At 38.2% G+C, this 26,107-nt stretch overlaps 1 protein-coding gene and 2 long non-coding RNA genes across 4 annotated transcripts in view; 2 read left to right on the top strand and 1 right to left on the bottom strand.

The window, feature by feature from the left end:
- Positions 1–26,107, bottom strand: part of KLF8 (KLF transcription factor 8) — a 383,409-nt gene that overhangs the window by 251,586 nt on the left and 105,716 nt on the right. Inside the window, exon 2 of one of the 2 annotated variants that reach the window (NM_001324104.1) lies at positions 24,985–25,101. The exons of the other annotated variant lie outside the window; for it this stretch is intronic. Within the exon in view, the coding sequence (NP_001311033.1) occupies positions 24,985–25,006 (22 nt within the window). The 5' untranslated portion in view covers positions 25,007–25,101. The remainder of the gene's footprint in view (positions 1–24,984; positions 25,102–26,107) is intronic. 2 annotated transcript variants of the gene reach the window in all.
- Positions 8,320–12,417, top strand: LOC124905193 (uncharacterized). The gene is made up of 3 exons (XR_007068247.1): positions 8,320–8,493; positions 11,204–11,485; positions 12,148–12,417. It is a non-coding gene; the product is annotated as an uncharacterized LOC124905193 (long non-coding RNA).
- LOC124905192 (uncharacterized) lies at positions 12,426–15,443 on the top strand. Its single transcript, XR_007068246.1, has 2 exons — positions 12,426–13,095; positions 13,672–15,443. It is a non-coding gene; the product is annotated as an uncharacterized LOC124905192 (long non-coding RNA).

The following is a 26,107-nucleotide window of genomic DNA, read 5'->3' as shown; positions in this document are numbered from 1 at the left end:
GAAAAGTGAAGGACCTCTTCAAGGAGAACTAAAAACCACTGCTCAAAGAAATCAGAGAGGACACAAACAAATACATATTCCATGCTCATGGATAAGAAAAATCAATATAATAAAAATGGCCACACTATCCAAAGTAATTTATAGACTCAATGTTATTCCCATTAAACTACCATTGACATTCTTCTTGGAATTAGAAAAAATGATTCTGAAACTTATATGCAACCAAAAAAGAGCCCAAATAGACAAGACAATCCTAAGCAAACAGAACAAAACTGGGGGCATCATGCTATCTGACTTCAAACTATAGTATAAGGCTACTGTAATCAAAACAGCATGATACTGGTACAAGAACAGAAACATTGACCAATGGAATATAATAGATAACTCTGGAATAGAATAGATACTCAGAAATAAGACTGCACACCTATACCCATCTGATCTTTGGCAAACTTGACAAAGACAAGCAATGGAGAAAGGATTCCCTATTTAATAATTAGTGCTGTGAGTGCTGGCTACCCATAGGCAGAAAACTGAAATTAGGCCTCTTCCTTACACCATATACAAAAATTAACTCAAGAGGGATTAAAGACTTAAATGTAAAACCCAAAACTATAATAACTCTAGAAGAAAATCTAGGCAATACCATTTAGGACATAGGCATGGGCAAAAATTTCATGACATAAACACCAGAAGCAATTGCAACAAAAGCAAAAATTCAAAAATGAAATCTAACTAAACTAAAGAGCTTCTACACAGCAAAAGTAACTATCATCAGCATGAACAAAGAACCTACAAAATGGTAGAAACTTTTTGCAATGTATCCCTCTGACAAAACTCTAATATCCAGAATCTATAAGGATATTAAACAAATTTACAAGAAAAAGAAAAACCACATTAAAAAGTGGGCAATAAACCTCAACAGCCACTTCTCAAAAGAAGACATAAATGGGGCCATCAAACATAGGGAAAAAAAGCTCACCGTCACTGATCATTAGAGAAATGCAAATGAAAACCACAATGAGATACCATCTCACGATAGTCAGAATGGCTAAAAAAGTCCAAGAACAACAGATTCTGGTGAGGTTGTGGAGGAAAAGAAACACTTTTTCACTGTTGGTGGAAACGTACATTAGTTCAATCATTGTGTAAGAGAGTGTGGCAGTTCCTCAAAGACCTAGAGGCAGAAATACAACTTCTCCCAGCAATCCCATTACTGGGTATATACCGAAAGGAATATAAATCGTTCTATTATAGATACATGCATGCATATGTTCATTGCAGCACTATTAATAATAGCAAAGACATAAGAACAATCCAAATGCCCATTAATGATAGACTGGATAAAGAAAATGTGGTACATATAAACTATGGAATGCTATGCAGCCATAAAAGGTAATGAGATCATGTTCTTGTAGGGACATGTATGGAGTTGGAAGCCATTATCCTTAGCAAACTAATGCAGGAAAAGTAAAACAGTGCATGTTCTCACTCATAAATGTGGTCTGAATGATGAGAACACAGGGACACATGGCAGGGAACAACACACTGGGGCCTGTCAGAAGGTGATGTGTGGGGTGAGTGACACCATCAAGAATAGCTAATGGATGCTGGGCTTAATATCTAGGTGATGGCATAATCTGTGTAGCAAACCACCATGGGCACATGTTTACTTATGTAACGGATCTGCACATCCTGCACCATATACCCATGAACTTAAAATAAAATGATAAAAAAAGAAAATTTGGTAAATATACACAATGGAGTACTATTCAGTCATAAAAAGAATACGACCCAGTCATTTGCAACATGGTTAGAACTGAAAATCATTATGCAAACTGAGATAAGCTAGGCAGAGAAGGACAAACATCACATGTTCTCATTTATTCGCAGTATCTAAAAATCAAAACATTTGAGCTCATAAACATAGAGAGTAGAAGGATGGTTACCAGAGGCTGGGTTGGATAGTGAGGGGCTGGAAGTGGTGGGGAGGTGGGATGGTTAATGCATACAAAAAATATTTAGAAGAAATAAATAAGACCTACTATTTGACAGCAAAACAGGGTGACTGTAGCCAATAATAACTTAATTGTACATTTTATAACAACTGTGTCCAATGGTGTTATTGAATTTTTTGTATCACAATGGATAAATGCTTGAGGGGATGGATACTCCATTCTCCTTGATGTGTTTATTTCACATTGCATGCCTATATCAAAATATCTCATGTACCCCATAAATATATACACCTACTATGTAAACACAAAAATTAAAGAAAAAAAAGTAAAATAAAGAAATTATAAAAAGGATTGAACCAAGAAAAAATAAATAGAAAACCTGAATAGTCCAAAAAACAAGTAATAAGAGTGAATCAGTAATAAAAATAATCCCAACAAAGGAAGGTCCTGAACCAGCTGGCTTCACTGCTGAATTTTACCAAACTTTTTTAAAAAAATTAATATCAATTATTCTCAAACTATTTCTAAAAAATTGAAGCACAGAGAATTCTTCCTAATTCAGTCTATGAGGCCAACATAACACTGATATCAAAACCAGACAAGGACACAACAATAAAAAAAAACAGACCAATCTTCCTGACGAACACAGATGTAAATTCCTGAACAAAATATTAGTAAATGGAATCCACCAACAAATGAAAAAGATAATACACCACGATCAAGTGGGATTTATTCCAGGAATGCAAGGATAGTTCAACATATGCAAATCAAGGATGCCCATTCTCACCACTCTTATTCAACATAATACTGGAAGTCCTAGACAGTGCAACTAGGTAAGAGAAAAAAATAAAGGACATCTATATTGGAAAGGAGGGTGTCAAATTGTACATGTTTGCAAATGGCATGATCTTATATACACAAAAAAACTAAAGACTTCAGTGAAAATCATTTGAATTGATAAATCAGTAAAGTTGTAAAATAAAATCAAAATGCAAAAATCAGTAGTGTTGCTATACAGGAACAACAAACTAGCTGAAAAAAATCAAGAAGGCAGTCACATTTGCAATTGCCTTAAAAATTAGGAATAAACTTAATGAAGGTTGTAGCAGATTTCTACAAGAAAAATTACAAAACACTCATAAAAAATGAAGAAGATACAAAAAATGGAAAGACATCTCATGCTTATGAATCAGAAAATTTATTATTGTTAAAGACAGTACTACCCAAAGGAATCTACAAATTAAATGCAACTCCTATCTTGACACCAATAACATTCTTCAAAGAAAAAAAATTTTAAATTCTAAAATATGTATGGAACTACAAAAGACTCTAAATACCTAAAACAATCTTGAGCAAAAAGAACAAGGCTGCAGGAAGCACACTGCTGAACTTCAAAATATACTACAAAGTCGTGGTAATCAAAATAGTATGTCACTGGCATAAAAACAGAAACATAGAGCAATGTAATAGAAAACAGAACACAAATACTAATCCACATATCTACAGCCAACTGATTTTTGACAAAGATGCCAAGAACATTCATTGGGGAAAGGACAGTCTTTTCAATACATGGTGCTGGGAAAATTGGATATTCCTATATGGAAGAACAAAACTAGACCACCAACTCTCACCCTATACAAAAGTCCACTGAAAATGGATCAGAGACCTTAATGTAAGAAACAAAACTATAAAACTACTAGTAGAAAATATAGAGAAAATGCTTGAGGAAATTTTTCTGAGAAAATAATTTATGAATAAAACCTCAAAAGCATAGATGAGATGATAAATATGCTAGTTACCATGATCTGTTCACTATACATCATATGTATCAAAATACTACTATGTACCCCATAAATATGTATAATTATTATGTGTCAATTAAAAAATAAAATAAATTAAAAATGAAGTATAAGATTTAAAAAGCCCGTATAGTCAAGGGAAGCTTCAGTAACAACAAAGCTGGAAGCATCATGCTATCTGACAAAAGCACAAATTTTAAAAAATAGTATTATATCAAACTAATAAGATTTTTGCACAGCAAATGAAACAATCAACAAAGTGAAAATACCATCTACATTATGAGAGAAAATATTTGCAAATTATTTATCTGACAGGGGATCAACATCCAGAATATGTAAGAAACTCAAACATCTCAACAGCAAAAAAGCCAAACAATCCAATTAAAAAGACGTGAATGGGTGAACAATCTGAACAGACATTTCTCAAAAGAAGACATATAAATGGCCAACAAATATATGAAAAAAATGTTCAACATCACTAATCATCAAAGAAATGCAAATCAAAACCCAATGAGATATCATTTCACCCCAATTAAGGAGGCTTTATCAAAAACACAAAAAATAACATATGTTGGCAAGGATGAAGAGAAAAGAAACTCTTATACAATCTTGGTAAGAATTTAACTTAGTACCACTATAATGAACAGTATGAAGTTTTCTCAACAACCTGTAAGTAGAACTACTATATGATCCAGTAATCCCATTACTAGGCATTTATTTAAAGGAAATAAAAACAGTATGTCAAAGAGACATCTGTTACCCCATGTTTGTTGCAGTACTATTCACAATAGCCAGGGTATGGAATTGACCTAAGTGTCTAAGAACAGATGGCTGCATAAAGAAAATGTGGTATATATAAACAATGGAATACTATTTGGCAATGAAAAGGAATAAAATCCTGGAATTCTCAGCAACGTGGATGGAACTGGAGGATATTATGTTAAGTAAAATAAACTAGGAACTGAAGGTTAAACCATGTATGCTCTCAGTCATATGTGGAAGGTAAAAAATGGTGATTTCATAAAAGTAAAAAGTAGAACAGAGGATACCAGAGGCTGGGAAGCATATAATGAATGAGGAATAGGGAGAGATTTCTTAAAGGACATAAAATTATAGCTAGATAAAAGAAATAAGTTCGGCCGGGCGCTGTGGCTCACGCCTGTAATCCCAGCACTTTGGGAGGCCGAGGCGGGCGGATCACGAGGTCAGGAGATCGAGACCATCCTGGCTAACACGGTGAAACCCCGTCTCTACTAAAAATACAAAAAATTAGCCGGGCGTGGTAGCGGGCGCCTGTAGTCCCAGCTACTCGGGAGGCTGAGGCAGGAGAATGGCGTGAACCCGGGAGGCGGAGCTTGCAGTGAGCCGAGAACGCGCCACTGCACTCCAGCCTGGGCCACAGAGCGAGACTCCATCTCAAAAAAAAAAAAAAAAAAAAAAAAAGAAATAAGTTCGTGTTCTATACCATTGTAAGATTGTAAGATGACTATAGTTAAAAATAATTTATTTTTTCAAATAGCCAGAAAGTGGATATTGAATGTTCTCAACTCAAACAAATGATAAATGTTTGAGATGATAAATATGTTAGTTACCCTGATCTTATCACTATATGTATCAAAATATTACTATGTACCCCATACATATATATAACTGTGTCAATCATAAAACAAAATAAATTATAATGTATAAAATTTAAAAACCCAAATAGCCAAGGCAAACTTCAGCAAAAAGAACAAAGCTGGAGGCACTATCTGATTTCACATTATATTAGAAGGCTATATTCATTAAAACAGCATGGTACTGGCATAACAATAGACACATACACAAAGAAATGGAATAAAAATTCCAGAAATAAACACATGTGTTTTCATTCAATTGATTTTTGACAAAGATGCCAATAATATACAATGGGAAAAGGACAGTCTTTTTAATAAATGATGTTGGGTAAACTGAATATCCATATGCCGAAGAATGAAATTGGACCTTTATTTCACACTGCACATGAAAATCACCTCACCATGGATTACAAATTTAAAGAAAAGACCTGAAAATGTAAAAATACTAAAAGAAAATATAGCAGAAAAAACTACATGAAATTGGTCTGGCAATGATTCTTTGGGATTACATCCAAAATCTTAGGCAACACGAACAAAAATAGACAAACCTGTTTGTAACAAACAAAAATGATTTTGTAACGCAAAGGAAACAACAAATATTTGCAAGCCAACATCTGATAAAGATTTGCTATACAAAATATGTAAGGTATTCAATATGTAAGGTATTCAAACAAAGGTATTCAAAATATGTAAGGTATTCAAACAAATGACTAGCAAGAAACAACTATTTTAAAACAGACAAAAGATCTGAAAAGACATTTCTCAAAGAAGACATACAAATGGCCAACAGGTACATGAAAAAAATGTTCAGCATTACTAATCATTAGGGAAATGCAAATTAAAACCACAATATAATATAACCTCATGCCTGTGATGGTGGTTATTATAAAAAAGAGAAGTGATAACAAGTGAAGAGAAAGGAACTCAGGTATACTGTTGGTGGGAATGTGAATTATAATATTACAGCCATTATAAAAAAGTGTGTGGTGGTTCCTCAATAAACTAAAAATAGAACTACCATATGATCCAGAAATCCCACTTCTGTGTATATATCAAAAGGATTTAAAATTAGTATGTAGAAGGGATGTCTGCACTCCTATATTCATTGCATCATTTTTCAAAATAGCCAGCATATAAAATCAATCTAAGTGCCCATCAAAAAAAATTGATAAAGAAAATGCAGTATGTATACACAATGGAGTAACAGCCCTGAAAAGGAAAAAAATCCTGTCATTTGCGACACCGTGGATAAAACTGGAGGACATTATGCTAAGTGAAATATGCCAGCCACATAAAGAAAAATACTGAATAATCTCACTTTTATTTTGAATATAAAATAATCTAAATCAAAGAAATAGAGAGTAGAATGGTGGCTATCAGAGGTTGGGTTGGGGAATGGGGAGATGTTGCTAAGAAGGTACAGGTTTAAGTTAGATAGGAAGAATACATGATAAGTATTTGAGGAGATGGATATGTCACTTTTCTTAGTTCAATCATACTGCATTATATATCTATATCATATGTTCCTCATAAATATATAGAATTATTATTTGTTAATGTATTATAAAATTTAAAAACACAAATGGTGGCAAGGATGTGGAGCAATGAAGTTCTAATACATTGTTGGTAGGACTGAGAAATTTTAAAGCCAGTCTGGAAAACAGTTTGGCAGTTGGTAGTAAAGTTGAACATTTACTTAACATAATCCCTAGTAATTCCACTCTTAGGTATTTACCCATCCCAAAATACAAACACAAATCTGTCCACAGGAAAATCTGTCTGCAAATGTTTAAAACAGCTTTATTCATAGTCACTAAATATTGGAAACTACTGAAGTGTCCATCTATAGATAAATGGATAAACAAATTGCTATATTCATACAATAGAAAACTACTGAACAACAACAATAAAGAATTACTGACATGCACAACAACACAGATGAATCTTGAGAAAAATGTTGAGTAAAAGAAGCAAGAATCAAAAGGCTATAAACTTATAATTTCACTTATATAACAGTTTATAATGAACAAAATTGCAGTGAAAGAGATCTTATCAGTAGTTGATAAAGGCTGGGAATTAGAGGGAGGAGTTGATTACAAAAGAGCACAAGGGAGCCTTTTCAGGTGACAGAAACATTATTTATCTTGATTATAGTGGTGGTTACAGAATGGTATACATTGCCAAATTTCAAAGAACTGTAGATGTAAAAAGAATAAATTTTACTAAATATAAATTATACCTCAATAAAAAAATGAAAGACTTGAGGCATATACAACAAAAACCAAATAAAACAAATATTTAAGGGCCAGGAATGGTGGCTCATGCCTGTAATCACCAGCACTTTGGGAGGCCAAGGTGAGAGAAGAGAAAAAGAGACCCCTCATATTGTTTTATATTGTTTTATACTCGGTACCTGTTTTAAGAAGAAACAAGGAAGTGGAAACCAAAGGCAGGCAGCCCGGCGCCAGGCACCAGACCCAAAACCAGACCCAAAACCAGGTCTGGGCCTTCGTGACCTAACCTGGTAGTTAAAATTCAACCCATGACCTAGCAACCGATGTTATCCATAGATTCCAGACATTGTATGGAAGGACATTGTGAAACTTCTCCTTCTGTTCTGTTTCACTCTGATTACTGGTGCATGAAGCCCCTGTCACATACCCCCTAGATCGCTCGATCGATCACGGCCCTTTCATGTAAAATCTTTAACGTTGTGAGCCCTTAAAAGGGACAGAAATTGTGCACTCGGGGAGCTCGGATTTTGAGACATTAGTCTGCCGATCCTTCCAGCTGATTAAAGCCACTACCTTCACTACCTCGGTGTCTGTGGGGTTTTGTCCGCAGCTCGTCCTGCTACATTTCTTGGTTCGCTGACTGGGAAACGAGGTGACTGATGGACAGCCGAGGCAGCCCCTTAGGCAGCTTAGGCCTGCCCTGTGGAGCATCCCTGCAGAGGACTCCAGCCTACCCGAGCGACATGATCCAAAGAGCGCTCCCGGGTAGGCAATTGGCCCGGTGGAACGCCTCACCAGAGCAGTGTGTGGCAAGCCCCCATGGAGGACCAAAGCAGTGGCTGAACACAGGGAAGGAAATGGCACTTGGAGTCCAGACATCTGAAACTTGGTAAGAATAGTCTTTGAAACTTGCCCACTCCATCTGAGTGGAAGCATGGCCTGACCACCCACAGCATGCCTGTATCGGCACTTTTGTTCTGGTTTTGACTTGACTTGAATTGCTTGATACTTTGGTTTTGGTTTTGACTTGGCTTAAATTTCTTGATACTCTGATTTTGGTTTGGTATAAACGATAAAGGTGTGTGTGTGCCCTCTTTACCTGTTCTTTGTTTTGTGGTAAGTGTGTGGTGTGAGCATGATATTTTGTCTTGAGAAAACATGGGTCAGGCACAAAGTAAGCCCACCCCATTGGGAACTATGTTAAAGAATTTCAAGAAAGGATTCAAAGGAGACTATGGAGTTACTATGACTCCAGGAAAACTTAGAACTTTGTGTGAAATAGATTGGCCAGAATTAGAGGTAGGTTGGCCATCAGAAGGAAGCCTGGAGAGGTCTCTTGTTTCAAAGGTATGGCACAAAGTAACTGGCAAGCCAGGACACCCAGATCAGTTCCCATATATAGATTCCTGGTTACAGCTAGTTTTAGATCCCCCACAGTGGTTAACAGGACAGGCAGCAGCAGTACTAGTAGCAAAGGGACAGTTAGTTAAGGAAGGTCCTCACTCCACCCGCTGACAGAAGCCAGCCCCTAAAGTTCTGTCTGACCCAGAGCCCAAAGACTCATGGCAGGAGATGGCACCAACAGTGCCCCTCCCTTACCAAGCAGAGAGGCCCCCTAATCCTGAGCTCACAGCCCCTAGACCACCCAGAGTAGACAAGAAAGGAAGTGAAGCTGCAGGAGAAACTCCTCCCTTGGTGGCTCGCTTACAGCCCAAGACTGGAACACAAATGCCCCTGAGAGAGCAGCAATATACTGGGATAGATGAGGATGGACACATGATGGAAAGGCGTGCCTTTGTGTATCACCCTTTCACTTCTGCTGACTTCCTCAATTGGAAAAATAATACTCCATCTTACACTGAAAAGCCTCAAGCTCTAATTGACTTGCTCCAAACTATTATACAGACTCATAATACTACTTGGGCTGATTCCCACCAGCTACTCATGTACCTCTTTAACACAGATGAAAAGCGAAGGGTGCTCCAGGCAGCAACTAAATGGCTAGAGGAGCATGTCCCAGCCGATTACCAAAATCCCCAGGAATACATAAGAATTCAGCTGCCAGGAATGGACCCTCAATGGGATCTGAATGAAGGACCAGATATGGAGAGGCTAAGACAATACCAGGAGGCATTAATTGAAGGTCTGAAAAAAAGGGGCTCAAAAGGCCACCAACGTAAATAAAGTTTCTGAAGTCATCCAAGGAAAGGAGGAAAGCCCAGCCCAATTCTATGAAAGACTGTGTGAGGCCTATCATATGTACATTCCTTTCAATCCAGATAGTCCTGAAAATCAGCATATGATTAACATGGCCTTAGTTAGTCAAAGTGCAGAAGATATCCAAAGGAAATTACAAAAACAGGCTGGTTTTGCAGGAATGAATATCTCGCAGTTACTGGAGATAGCTAATCAAATATTTGTAAACAGTGATGCAACAAGCCGCAGAGAAAGCCATAAGGAGGGAGAACGCCAGGCCAGGTGGAACGCTGATTTGCTGGCTGTGGCAATTAGGGGAATCCCCACGAAGGGACAGGGAAAGGGGTGTTCTGGGAGGAATGCCCAGTCCAATCGCTCACGTCTGCAGCGTAACCAATGTGCCTACTGTAAAGAAATAGGACATTGGAAAGATAAATGTCCCCAACTAAAAGAGAAGCAAGGTGATGCAGAGCAAAAAGACCATAGAAAAAGACGAAGGGACTTTGTTTAATCTGGCCGAAGGGCTTCTAGACTGAAGGGGATCGAGCTCAAATGCCCCCAAGGAGCCCATGGTCAGGATGACAATAGGGGTCAAGGACATTAAGTTTTTGGTCAATACCGTGCTGAACACTCAGTAGTAACCACCCCAGTGGCCCCCTTATCTAAGAAAACCGCTGATATAATAGGAGCAAGAGTCTCCACCAAGCAGGTTTTCTACCTACCGTGGACCTGCTTGGATAGAAGGACATAAAGTGACTCATCAATTTCTGTATATGCCTGACTGCCCCTTGCCTTTGTTAGGCAGAGACTTGCTTAGCAAGCTGAGAGCCACCATTTCCTTTACAAAACAGGGCTCTTTATAGCTGAAGTTACCGGGAACAGGAGTTATCATGGTCCTTATGGTCCCCTGAGAAGAATGGAGCCTTTTTCTAACCGAGCCAGGTCAGGAGATAAAACCGGCACTAGCTAAGCAATGGCCCCGAGTATTGGTGGAGGACAATCCTCCAGGGCTGGTGATCAATCAAGCCCCTGTACTCATAGAAGTTAAGCCTGGGGCCCAGCCAATCAGACAAAAGCAGTATCCGGTTCCCAGGGAAGCTCTTGAAGGAATACAGGCACATTTTAGACACTTGAAAGCTTTTGGAATTATAGTTCCTTGCCAGTCTCCATGGAACACCCCCCTCCTACCTGTCCCCAAGCCAGGGACCAAGGACTATCGGCCCGTACAGGACTTATGCTTGGTTAACCAAGCTACTGTGACTCTGCACCCAACAGTTCCTAACACTTACACATTGTTAGGATTGCTGCTGGCTGAGGATGGCTGGTTCACTTGCCTGGACTTGAAGGGTGCCTTCTTTAGCATTAGACTAGCTCCTGAGAACCAAAAACTGTTTGCCTTTCAGTAGGAAGACCCGGGGTCAGGTGTCACCACACAGTACACTTGGACTCAGCTTCCCCAAGGGTTCAAAAATTCCCGCATCATCTTCAGGGAGGCGTTGGCTCGAGACATCCAGAAGTTTCCTGCTAAAGACCTAGGCTGCGTCTTGCTCCAGTACGTGGACGACCTTCTGCTAGGACACTCCACAGCAGTCGGGTGTGCAAAAGGGATGGATGCCCTACTTTGGCACCTGGAGGACTGTGGATATAAGGTGTCCAAGAAGAAAGCTCAGATTTGCAGACAGCAGGTATGCTACCTGGGATTCACTATTCAGAAAGGGGAGCACAGCCTGGGGTCAGAAAGAAAGCAGGTCATCTGCAGCCTACCAGAACATAAAACCAGAAGGCAAGTAAGGGAATTTCTAGGAGCTGTGGGTTTTGCAGATTATGGATTCCAAACTTTGCGTGCTAGCCAAACTGTTGTATGGGGTTACAAAGGGGGGCGACTGAGAGCCCTTTGAATGGGGGCCTCTACAACAGCAAGACTTTTGTAAGTTAAAAGAAAAACTTATGTCAGTCCCAGCTCTGGGACTACCAGATTTGACCAAGCCCTTCACACTCTATGTGTCAGAAAGAGAAAAAATGGCAGTTGGAGTTTTAACTCAAACTGTGGGGCCCTGGCCAAGACCAGTGGCCTACCTCTCAAAACAGCTAGATGGAGTTTCAAAAGGCTGGCCTCCATGTCTGACAGTCCTGCCAGCTACAGCCCTGTTAGCACAAGAAGCAGATAAGCTAACCCTTGGGCAAAACTTAAATATAAAGGCCCCCCATGTGGTGGTAACTTTAATGAATACCAAAGGACACCATTGGCTAACAAATGCTAGATTAACCAAGTACCAAAGCTTGTGTGAAAACCCCCGCATAACCATTGAAGTCTGTAACACACTAAATCCTTCCACCTTGCTCCCAGTATCAGACAGCCCTGTTGAACACAACTGTGTAGAGGTGTTGGACTCAGTCTATTCTAGCAGACCGGATCTTCGAGACCAGCCATGGGCATCAGTAGACTGGGAGTTATACGTAGACGGGAGCAGCTTCATCAACCCACAAGGAGAAAGATGTCCAGGATATGCGGTGGTAACCTTGGATAATGTTATTGAAGCCAAGCCATTGCCTCAGGGCACTTCAGCCCAGAAAGCAGAACTCGTTGCTTTAACTCGGGCTCTAGAACTCAGTGAAGGTAAGACTGTAAACATTTATACTGACTCTCGATATGCCTTTCTAACCCTTCAAGTACATGGGGCATTATATAAAGAAAAAGGCCTGTTAAATTCTGGGGGAAAGAACATAAAATATCAACAAGAAATTCTACAATTATTAGAGGCAGTGTGGAAACCCCAAAAGGTGGCAGTCACGCATTGCAGGGGACACCAGCAAGTTTCCACCTCAGTGAGCCGAGGAAACTCCTGGGCAGACACAGAGGCATGAAAAGCAGCATCTACTCCCTACTGGGCATCAGTCACAGCCCCCCTACTCCCTCAAACACCTGATCTGGTCCCTACTTATTCTAAAGAGGAAAAAGACATTCTTCAGGCAGAAAGAGGACAAAATAAAAGAAGGATGGATAAAGTTACCAGATGGGGGAGAATAGCTGTGCCACAGCTGCTAGGAGCCACAGTAGTGCTGGCTGTATATGAAACTACCCATTTAGGTCAAGAGTCACTTGAAAAGCTGTTAAGCTGGTACTTCTACATCTCACACTTGCCAGCTCTAGCTAAAACAGTAGCGCAGCAATGCGTTACCTATTGACAGCACAATGCAAAGCAAGACCCCTCTGTCCCTCCCGGCATACAAGCCTATGGAGTAGCTCCTTTTGAAGATCTTCAAGTGGACTTCACAGAGATGCCCAAATGCGGAGGTAAGAAGTATTTACTGGTTCTAGTGTGTACTTACTCTGGGTGGGTAGAGGCTTATCCGACACGAACTGAAAAAGCTCGTGAAGTAACCCGTGTGCTTCTTTGAGATCTTGTCCCTAGGTTTGGACTGCCGCTATGGATTGGCTCAGATATTGGGCCAGCATTTGTGGTTGACTTAGTACAGAAGACAGCAAAGGTATTGGGAATCACATGAAAGTTACATGCTGCCTACCGACCTCAGAGTTCTGGAAAAGTGGAGCGAATGAATCGGACTGTCAAAAATAGTTTAGGGAAAGTATGTCAAGAGACAGGATTAAAATGGATACAGGCCCTTCCTATGGTATTGTTTAAAATTAGGTGCACCCCCTCTAAGAAAACAGGATACTCCTCTTACAAAGTATTATATCATAGTCCTCCTCCTATACTGCGAGGACTTCCGGGTACTCCCCAAGAGTTAGGTGAAATTGAATTGCAGCGACAGCTACAGGCCTTGGGGAAAATTACCCAGACAATCTCAGCTTGGGTAAATGAGAGGTGCCTGGTCAGCTTATTCTCCCCAGTTCACCCTTTTTCTCCAGATGACCGTGTGTGAATCAAGGACTGGAAAGTAGCTCCTCTGCGGCCATGATGGAAAGGACCCCAGACTGTTATCATGACCACTCCCACAGCTGTAAAGGCGGAAGGAATCCTGGCCTGGATCACACAGCAGCATAAAGCCTGCAGCCACTGAAACCTAGGAGGCCAAACCAAGCCTGGACAATCCCTGTAAAGTGACTCTGAGGAGGATGACAAGCCCTACTCCAGTCAAACCCGGAAGTTGACTGGTCTACGCACGGCCGAAGCATGAGGAAAATTGTCATGGGACTTATTTTCCTTGTGACATGGACTTGTGTGGTAAAAGCTTCCACTGCTTCTTTTCACACGGAGGACTGCTTTCAGTGTGTACATCAGGTCACTGAGGTAGGACAACAAGTTAAAACAATCTTTTTGTCCTATAGTTATTATGAGTGCCTAGGAACACCAAAAGGAACATGTTTATATAATAACACTCAGTACAAAGTATGTAATCCAGAAAGTGATCAGCCTGATGTGTGTTATGACCCCTCTGATCCTCCCATGATCACGGTATTTGAAATAAGACTAAGGACTGGCCCTTTTCTAGGTGACACAAGTAAAGTAATAGCTAGAACAGAAGAAAGAGGGGTCCCCAAACATGTAACCCTAAAATTCGACACTTGTGCCACTATTAATAGTAATCAGCAAGGAATAAGATGCGGTTCTCTAGATTGGGAAAAGAGTTACACAGCAGAAAATAAGTATATCTGCCATGAATCATATTCATGTACAAATGTGTGTCAATACTGGTCTTGTGTCATCTGGGCTACTTGGAAAAAAGATGAATAAGATCTTGTTTGGCTCCAAAAAGGAAAAAGCAGCCCCTCCTGCACAAGTGGAAGCTGCAACCCTTTAGAATTAATAATTACAAATCCTTCAGACCCAAAGTGGGAAAAAGGAGAGCACGTATCTCTAGGCATTGATGGAAAAGGACAAGATCCTAGAATAAATATCTTAATAAAAGGAGAGGTTCGAAAACGCTCTCTAGAGCCAGTATTTCAGACTTTCTATGATGAACTAAATGTGCCAGTACCTGAGATTCCAGGAAAAACTAGAAATTTGTTTTTGCAATTAGCTGAGCATGTAGCACAGTCTTTAAAATCACTTTGTGTTATGTTTGTGGAGGAACTGTAACAGGAGATCAATGGCCATGGGAAGCCCAAGAATTAGTCCCTACGGACCCAGTTCCTGATGAATTCCCAGCCCAAAAGAACCATCCTGACAATTTCTGGGTTCTAAAAGTCTCAATTATTGGACAATATTGCATAGCTAGAGAAGGAAAAGTACTTTGGGAGGCCAAGGTGAGAGAAGAGAAAAAGAGACCCCTCATATTGTTTTACATTGTTTTATACTCAGTACCCATTTTAAGAAGAAACAAGGAAGTGAAACCAAAGGCAGGCAGCCCGGTGCCAGGCACCAGACCCAAACCCAGTCCCAAAACCAGGCCTTTAAAATTCAACCCATGACCTAGCAACCGATGTTATCCATAGATTCCAGACATTGTATGGAAGGACATTGTGAAACTTCTCCTTCTGTTCTGTTTCACTCTGATTACCGGTGCATGCAGCCCCTGTCACATACCCCCTAGATTGCTCGATCAATCATGGCCCTTTCACGTAAAATCTTTAGCATTGTGAGCCCTTAAAAGGGACAGAAATTGTGCACTCAGGGATCTCGGATTTTGAGACATTAGTCTGCCGATCCTTCCAGCTGATTAAAGCCACTTCCTTCACTACCTTGGTGTCTGTGGGGTTTTGTCCGTGGCTCGTCCTGCTGCAAAGGTGGGCAGATCACTTGAGGCCAGGAGTTCCAGACCAGGCTGGCCAACATGGCAAAACCCTGTCTCTACAAAAAATACAAAAATTAGTCCAGTGTGGTGGTGCGAGCCTGTAATTCCAGCTATTTCGGAAGCTGAGGCAAGAGAATAGCTTGAACTCGGGAGGCAGAGGTTGCAGTGAGCCAAGATCGCGCTACTGCACTCCAGCCTGGATGACAGAGAGACTCTAACTCCAAAAAAAAAAAAAAAGAAATTAAAAAGACATTTTGTTCACCATCAGATTGATAAAGATTAAAAATATTGTCAGTACGCAGTGTTGTAAAATAAATTTTTTAAAAAATTAAATGTGTGGAAACATTCAATCTCATAAATTGGTGGGCATGTAATTTGTTACAGCTTCCTTAGAGAAAACTAATATATATCTATCAAATATTAAAATGTATATATCCTCTGATCTAAATAATTCTACTTGTATGACTATTCTCATACAGTTGTATAAAATTATATGTGGAAAAATATCACTGGAGTTCTGTTTGTGCTAGCAAAATACTAGAAACAACCTAAATAAATGTCCATCAGTAGATTACTGAATAAATGCATCAGAGCATGTTGATAGAATGACATTCTTTACATCCATTGAAAAGTCTGCTAAGAGTTGAGATTTTTGAAAAGGGGGAGTAAAGACCTGCAAAAATATTTTCTTCCATAAAAGCAATAAGAATGCTGGTAATAATTCTCAAAATCAACATTTTTAGAACTCTAAAAATTAAACTCTTGCAACAATCAAAGGAGTGTTTGTGTTAAAAAAAAAAAGTATGAATACCAGTGTATATAACAAGCTTTGTATTTGGGGGTTCAGTTTAGGTGAAGGTATATTTATCATATCATCTTGATTCATTGACCCATTTATCATTATAAAATGCCCTTATTTACATCTAGGAACAATTTTGTCAAAAATTCTGTTTGGTCTGATGTTAGCACAGCCACTTTGGCCATGATATTCAAAATACAGCTTTTTCATCCTGTTTGTGTCTTTGTTTGTCTCATAGAAAGCACGTGGTTGGATCACAGTTTTTAAAAATCCATTCTGTTTGTCTCTGCCTTTTGGTTACAGCAGCTAATCAATTTAAACTCAATATAATTACTGATAAAATAGGATTCACATCTATCATTTTGCTGTTTGTTTTCTGTATGTTTTATATATTTTGTTTTCCATTGCTGTCTTCTTTCTTATAAATATTTTGCCATATACCATCTTAATTCCCTTGTTTCTATTACTATAGTTTATAATTTAAAATTAAATAATATACAAAACTTTGCCCCTATAAATCTCAATTCCCTCCCCATCTTTTGTGTTGTAATTGTCCTATAAATTACATATTTAAATATTGCATGCCCATTAACACACTTATGGACATCTTATTCCCCATATTTTCTTTGTAAGCTTTTTGGTTAACCTAATGTTTGCACCAATCCTTATCTACCACCTCAGGTGTTGTGATGTGATATAAAATTATTGGTGGTAGATTTTATATATATATACATAATTTTCTCTGATTATTTCTGACAAATGGCTCCATGGAATGGTCTATTCACCCTGGGGGAGCTTTTAGTCAGGTCTATTAAAGGTAGCCTTACACATGAGGTCTCCCTGAGAGCTGTCATACAGGTTGAATAATGACAGTTTTCTGGTAAGGGACTTTGAAGAGGCTCCAACCTCATTCTACCCTCTTCGGTGGTTACCACGTTGCTGCTTTTCACTGTGACTTGCATGCTGTTGATTTTCAGGGCTGCTGTGGAACTGGGGAGAGGGCATAGGAACAGGGCAAATTAAAATGATAAAAAGCTCATGCTCCTACTGAGCTTCAGATATTTTTCTTTTTTTTTTCTTCTTTTTTTTTTTTTTTTTGGTCAGACAGAGTCTCGCTCTGTCACCCAGGCTGGAGTGTAGTGGCGCGATCTCGGCTCACCGCAAGCTCTGCCTCCCGGGTTCACGCCATTCTCCTGCCTCAGCCTCCCGAGTAGCTGGGACTACAGGCACCCGCCACCACCATGCCCAGCTAATTTTTTGTAATTTTAGTAGGCACGGGGTTTCACTGTGTTAGCCAGGATGGTCTCGATCTCCTGACCTCGTGATCCGCCCGCATCAGCCTCCCAAAGTGCTGGGATTACAGGCATGAGCCACCATGCCTGGCCTCAGACATTTTTCTTGAATAAAGGCTCCATGGATTTCTGCAAGCCTTTGGTTAATTTCTAGAGTTCTGAAAACATTGATTCTCACATTTTTTTGGCCAGTGTTCTCATTGGTTTTTATAGATAAGGGATATTCTACAGGTTTTCACTGCACCATTTTCACTGATGACACACCAGACTGTAATCTTAAATTCAGATATTTTATGTGAGGCTTTTTGTTTGTTTCATTTTGTTTTGGTTTAAATTGTAGTGAATATGGTTGACACTTGCTTTGAATTTTTTCCAAGACGCATTTTTTTTTTTTTTGCTCTATTCTCTGCACACATTTCTGGGACATCAATTACCCAATTTTCATGTACTGAATGAGGCTATGAAGTATTTATGAGAATTATCTTGGACCTGCACAAGGCCTGCTGTTCCCTCAGCAAAGCACAGTGCCAAGGTGGGGTAAACATATATTTAGATACATATCAAGCTTTGGATTCCAGACTTTCACTAGAAGCTATCAATCTTACCACTCACTAGCAGTACTTACTAGTAGTACTTAAAAACTACTCACAGAAATTATATTTCTGTACTTTGTATTTCCTGATGAGCATAATTCTGACATCTCTGCTATTTAACTTCAAAAAAATTCAATGGGAAAAACTGTATTTTTGGAGTTATGTAAAAAAAAAAAAAAGAGCGGGTCAGTATAACCACTTTGGAAATCTATTTGGCAGTACTGACTAAAACTAATCACATGCATAACCTCTTGCACCGCAATTCTACCCCTTTATATATAATCAACAGAAACGGGTGTGCACATATGTAGCAAAAAATTACTTACAAAAAAATTCATACAGCTTTTATTATTTTAATTGTATGATTATTATTAATAGCCAAAAACTGAACATGACCCAAATGTCCATCAGTCTTAGAAAGAGTAAATAAATTATGGTATAGTCATACAATGAAATACTACTGAGAAATGAAAAAAGAACAAACCACTGCTGCACACAACAGCATCAATGAATCTCAAAATCATTAAGTTGCATGAAATAAGATACATACAAATAAATAGATATCATATGGTTTCATTCATACAAATTTCAAAAACAGATGGTACTAATCTATAATTCTATAAGATGGGTGAGAAATAATAATGTTTCATATTTCTGGTGCCAATTACACAGGTATGTTAAATTGATGAAAACTTGCTGAGCTGTGCATGTATAATTTCTGTACTCTTTCATATGTATGCTGTATTACAATAAATATCAGCAAATCAGAATGTAAACATACATATTCTGACTGAAGAGGAGAGAAAGGAAGCATTTGAGGCAAAGGGAACAATATGTACAAAGGTATTGTGATGTGAAGAGCATGCTGTGTTCTGTGTTATTGGAATGGTGATTAGTTCAGTAGGGCAGGAGCACAGCTATACTTATAGGTAAAAGTGGAGAGGTAGAGCAAGCCTTTTATTTCTGGAATACAGTAAGAGTGTTTAAAAATGGTTTTGACTTGTTTATTCCCAAAATTAAGTCTACTCTCACCATATATATTGCATATATGTATTTACAATAGGCCGTCTATCTAAATGTTCCGGAAGCACCTCAACATAGACACTCTGGAACAAAATATCTTCAGTCTGATACTGCATCCACAGACTAAAACTTGTTCTTCCTTTGGTACCTTGGCACCATTCTTCACTCCATTGCCCAAATCAGAATCCTGTGAATCACCTTTACTTCCTCTTCTCCCACAACCAATCAATAGCCAAATATTGGTGATACCATATCATGTCATTTATAACTTTAGAATCTACCTGCTTCTCTACAGCCCAATGTCTACTACCTTACTTTAAGGCCCACTGTTTCACATGGACTTATCACAAAAGCCTCTAGACAGTATTTCTGCTGCTAGTTTCTCCTCTTTTCTAAGCATGCTCCACGCTGCTGTAGCAGGATGTTTCTAAACACCAAAATCTTTAGCATGCCTTATATTGCCCTTCACAATCTTTCCTTTTTTTTCCCCAGAGCTCTTATCTTCTCTAAATAAAAGTGCTGTCCTAAATAGCACTCCAGCTGAATACATGCTGATTTCCATTATGTTCAAAATGCTGTTTTAGAACTCCTTTCATATTTGGTGTATGTAGAATTCTAGAATAAGGGATATAATAACTAAAAACTTTGTTGTGCCTTCCACCTAACTTTTATCTGACTGGTCAGATGCCACGACACATCAATACTTGATTGTGGTCAATTCTCTATTCTGTTTTTATTAATCAAGCTTATCATTGTGGCCTTCTGTCACATTGCAGTCAGCTGTCAAATAAGACTCTGAGATTAAGGTTTGAGTTTAGGTAGAGGAAAATGGCCTCACAGGCCTCCAAACTTAACCATAAGATCTAGCTTGACCTACCACAGTTCTCTGAATAGAGTTCTAGGAAACAAGTCTGTCTAACTATGTGTTACATTCCTTTCCCTTACCATTCTTTCTTGTGTTCCTCAGGGACTTTGTGGAGAGGACCATGATAGCTCCAAGATAACTATTCTTGGTTTTCTGAGCCAAACACCATTAAAGTCTACTATTACTTCTATATGCATAGAAGAAAATCAGCCTCAGGACTTTATCTTACCACATAACCCTCATCACTAACTTTATGTACCCACCTCTGCTTTTGACTCTTTATTCCAAAAACTAAGTCCACTCTCAGTAATCTGCCACAGAGATGTTAAAGTATTTGTGAATATCCAAAACATAGGTCTTTGCAGAGTTTGCTGCATAGAGCAAGTGCTCAATACATCAACTGAATGTTAATGAAGATAATCCAATAACCTTTAAAATAGACAGTCAACGAAAAATTTTCTGGGAAAGAAGTGCATTTTATTCCTAGGTATTCTCAGCACTCTCTGAAAGGAAGATTCTAAAACAGCAGCCATAGTTTAGTAAAGATCCATTCTCCAAGAGAAGTCTAAAGAGTGGCTTAATAACATATAACAATCTCCAGGGGGCTGGTTTTTATATCAAATGACTATCTGAGAAGATCTGGTCATATTTGTGAAATCCAATACTAACTTTTCCTTTGTAGTCAGGAGACTATCATATACAACTGGCTGTTACTATTTTTTTTATAATGCTGATGAGTTCTTTCCTTTCTCCTTCTATACAGAATTCAAAGCAGATTGAACAGACTTAAACAGCAGTATGGGGATTCCACCCAAACAAATGACCAAAACATCTGGAAAGTAAAGGCTGTCAGAGCCTAAAATCCCTGAGATGATCAAAGAGCTCTACTAAAGAAGGTGGAAGTTCATTCCTTAAAAATATGTTGAAAAGAATGTCCTAGTCACTTTTCTGAGATCCTGTCTAAATATAGCCAGATTCCTACAGCTTGAAAGTTTTATCATGACATACACACACCAAACACACACATCCCTCTCCTTCTTCCTGTCAATCTCTTACTCTCTCATTTGTTTTAAACCACACACACACACATACAAACAAATGCCCAGTGTAACCATATAGAATTGCTAATATTTAACAATTTTTACCTACAAAAATGGCAATTTTTTATGGTTTAACTGAATATATATATACATATAGTATAGCAAATTAGCATATATTATATAATAATATGTATATGTGTGTAAATTAACATGTATTATATAATAAAACATATTGATGTGTGTGTGTGTATTTTTCCCTCAGAGAGTTAGGCCATACTTGTTTCTATGAAAACCAAACTTTGCCCAAAGGGCATAATTCAGCTGCTATGACTAGTTTCATTCTTCTTTCCACCCAATACACATTCATACACATAAATAGAAAAAACTCTAAAGTCTTTATTATGACTTTCATTCAGAGCTATGTCAAAGATAGGTTTCTTTTTTCTTCTGAGTAGTATATTTTTATTTATAGTTAATAATGTGGGAATTAAAGTTAATAAAAATTAGGAGAAAACTATGTTAAGTGAAATAAGTAAGGCACCGAGAGACAAATGCATGTTCTCACTTTTATGTGGAAGCTACACAACTGATTTCATGGAGGCAGAGAGTTTGTAATGGTGATTGCCAGAGGCTGCGAAGGGTAATGGGGATAGGAGAATGAAGAGGAGCTGGTTAACAGGTACAAAGATACAGTTAGATAGAAGAAATAAGTCCTAGTGTTTGATAACACAATAGGGCCACTATAGTTAACAATAATTTATTGTACATTTCAAAACAGCTAGAAGAGATCTGGAATGCTCTCAACACAAATAAATGATAAGTGCTTGAGATGATGGATATCCCAATTACCCATATTTGATCATTACACATTGTATGTTGGTATTACATGTACCCTATAGATATGTACAACTACTATGTATCCATAAAAATTTAAGAATTTAAAATTAATAAAAATAAATAAAACACTTCAAATGCTATTTGGGAGTAGGGTCAGATATATTGGGAGAAGAGGTAAAACAGTCTTGATCCAAAATGAATGCAATTTTTCTTCATTTGGCTTTATGTCCATCGTTTTTTACAAAAATCCTTCTTTTATCTTTAACTAAAAAGAGAACTAAATAAAAGGTTATCATATACAACTGAAGGGAAATATCCATTCCACTTAAGATTATGACACAATCAGTACTACCCCTCAAAAAATCACACACCCACTAGCAAACATACACTACCATTATCACTACATCCAGTGCACTGGGGGAATACTTGCTCACTTTTCATGGCAGAGCAATCTTTTCCATACCCTACAGTGAACATTAGTGTCAGTCTCAGACCAACTGCATCTTCCTCCATTGCGCTTCCCCGTTCTACTATTTTCTCTTTCCTACAAACTGCTTCTGGTTTTGTCTGAAAGGGTGACTGTGCCCTCTGCCTCCTCCAGGGCAGAAAGAATGCTTTCAGCATTGGTCAGGAGCCTCTGACCAGGCAAGCAAGGAGGCCATGTTCTAGGCTGGCTGCCATTGTGCTTGGAAGCCTACCTTACTTCTCTTAGGCCACCCTCTCAGCATACATACCAACTGCTACAGCAATGGCATGCCTACAAGTTTGCCAGGTCCCTAATACTAGCTCTTCAGTCAGCTTCTGCGTTACAGGGAAAAATTAATAACAAATAAAAACATATAGATCCTGCTACTATTCCCTTCAGGTTAGACTTTGACCAAGGTTGGGAGCAGGAAACAGATTTCTAGACCAGCCTCTGTAGTATTTTCTATAATAGAAACAACCTCTCTTATTTTAAAATCAAATGTTAAATATAGATATATAGCACCTCCCTCAATCCACCACTAACCTCTCCAGTGAACTACTGGACATATAAAAATGTGGCTTTATTATAAAAAGTTTACTTTATAACATATCCACATGGTATTTCACTTAAAATATATTTGTATAAAAACTATAAAAAATAAACTTATAAGGTAAATGTAGTAACATAGTAAAATGGATTTGACAATCCAAATGTCTCTATGTGCAGCAGAAGGAATAGAAAAATCTAATTTGAATCCTAGTCTAATATTAACATATTGTGTGGCACTAGGCAGGTCACTCCTCCTCTTTGACTATAGTAGTTAAAATGTAGACTCAGGAACCACAGTAGTTGTTTGACCTTGGATAAGTTAAATAACTGCTTTATGCCTTAGTTTCCCATCTATAAGATGGGGATAATAATAGTTCTTATAATGTTACAGTGGAGATTCATGGCTTATTTAACGTGAAGTACTTCTAAGAGTGCATGATTATATTGTCTAATAAATGTGAATTGTTATTGTTTCCAGTAAGTTTTCATTTGGTATAGGAAATGAATGGCAGATTCTTATCAATCTTACAGTCTAGTTAACTAAGAATTACTATGTCTATCACCAGGAGTTATTACATTTAAAATCACAATTAAAATGGAAGGAAAACAAATTAATGCAAACTACTATGACAGCTTCTAGGGCTTCAGCATTGGGAATCTCAATTTTGATTGATCTACTCAACAAATGTGCTGAATACTCACTCTGTGCCAGGCACTATATTATATACTTCACATACATTACCTTATATTTACCTCACAATACTTCTGTGTAGAAGCTAGCGTTGTGCCAGCATTATATTGAGGCTAAATGATTTGCCCAAGGTCACACAGTTGTCACTGCTTGAGCTAAGATGTGAACCCAAGTTCCAAAACCCAGGTTCAATAGCATGCTAAAATTGGGCTGAAACTGTATGAATCTCTAGAAGCAAATGCTCCAAAAAAGCATTCACAATTAGAGCTTATTGTTTGTTAGTTACTTTGTACACACAAACACATACACATATGTACACACATACACACATATGGTCTGGGAAAGAAAATGCTATTTAAGAGTTTACTTATTTAAAAGGAATAGAGACTGAGAAGACAAAATTGTCCACTGTTCCCAAAATATTTCTGCGGCTTCCATTTTGGCTTCTAATTTTTTCCCTTTCCCGCAAACAAAATCCTGTGGGGTCTCTTATGTTAGTCTCCTTCTCTACACCACCATTGATTCTGCCCTTTTGTACACTAGTTAACTATTAAAACAACCTCTTAACTCTTTTCCCTGGTGGTATTCTACCCTTCCTCCACTGCAGTCTGTATGGTTTTTACCTTGCTTGAACCCACTCACCTAGACTTTTAGCAAAATGCTAGAATCAGGTCAGAAAGTGCTAGAGCTACAAGAGACCTATGTATTGAGCAAGGCAGAGATTATGTCATTTTCCTATTGGAAAACCACCAGTGACCTAATAGAAAATGTACAAAGGCAATTCACAGAATCAGAAAGCCAAAATTGCCAACAAACAGATGAAAAGATGTTCAGCCTCATTAGTTACCAAGGAAATTCACATTATAACAAAAATGCGATGTTATTTTAACCCATCAAGTTGGAAAACAATATAAATGGTTGGTGAGTGTGTGAGATAATACAGATTTTCCAATACTGCTGATGGGAATGAAAGCTAGTACAGCAACCTTAGAGAGTGATTCAGGCAAAAGATGTATGTATTTTGTGACACATCAAATCTGACGTACTGTAGATATGTCTTCTTAATCCAAGGTCTAGAGAACTTCAGGAAGTCCATGATGTTGAATGGGGAAAAATTATATTTTTATTTTTATTTTGCTTTATTTTAAGTTCAGGGGTACATGTGCTGAATGTGCAGGTTTGTTACATTAGTAAACATGTGCCATGGTGGTTTGCTGCACAGATCATCCCATCATCAAGTTATTAAGCCCAGCATCTATTAGTGAATTTCCTGATGCTTTCCCTCCTGCCATACTCCCCAACAGGCCCCACTGCATGTTGTCCTCCCCTTACCATGTCCAAATGTTCTCATCATTCAGTTCCCACTTATAAGTGAGAACTTGCAGTATTTGGTTTTCTCCTCCTGCATTAGTTTGCTGAGGATAACAGCTTCCAGCTCCAACCACATCTCTGCAAAAAAAAAAAAAAAAAAAAAAACATGATCTTGTTGCTTTTTATGGCTACATAGTATTCTATGGTGTACATGTACCACATTTTCTTTAACCAGTCTATCACTGATGGGCGTGTGTGTTGATTGCATGTCTTTGATATTGTGAATAGTGCTGCAATGCACATATGCGTGCATGTATCTTTATAATAGAACAATTTATATTCCTATGGGTATATACACAGTAATGGGACTGCTGGGTCAAATGATATTTCTGGTTCTAGGTCTTTGAGGAATAGCCACACTGTCTTCCACAAAAGTTGAACTAATTTACATTCCCACCAACAGTGTAAAAACATTCCTTCTTCTCCGCAGTCTTGCCATCATCTGTTGTTTCTTGACTTTTTAATAATTGCCATTCTGACTGGTGTGAGTTGGTATCTCATTGTGGTTTTGATTTGCATTTCTCTAATGATCAGTGATGTTGAGCTTGTTTCCATATGTTTGTTGGCCACATGTATGTGTTCTTTTGAGAAGTGTCTGTTCATGTCCTTTGCCCACTTTTTAACAGGGTTGTTTTCTTATAAATTTGTTTGTTTCTTGTAGATTTTGGATATTAGACATTTGTCAGATGGATAGGTTGCAAAAAGTTTCTCCCATTCTGTAGACTGTCTGTTTACTCTGATGATAGTTTCTTTTGCTGTGCAGAAGCTCTTTAGTTTAACAGAATCCCATTTGTAAATTTTTGCTTTTTTTGCAATTGCTTTTGATGTTTTTGTCATAAAATCTTTGCCCGTGCCTATGTCCTGAATGGTATCGCCTAGATTTTCTTTTAGGATTTTTATAGTTTCAGGTTTTACATTTAAGTGTTTCATCCATTTTGAGTTAGTTATTATATAAAGTGTAAGAAAGGGGTCCAGTTTCAGTTTTCTGCATATGGCTAGCCAGTTCTTCCAGCACCATTTATTAAATAGGGAATAGTATTAGTCTGTTCTCATGCTACTAATAAAGGCATACCCAAGACTGGGT

Source organism: Homo sapiens, chromosome X (genome assembly GCF_000001405.40).
Source record: "Homo sapiens chromosome X, GRCh38.p14 Primary Assembly".
NCBI classification, from domain to species: Eukaryota; Metazoa; Chordata; class Mammalia; order Primates; family Hominidae; genus Homo; species Homo sapiens.
The sequence above is the reverse complement of the archived record's forward strand: the minus strand, read 5'-3'. Positions and strand labels throughout refer to the sequence as shown.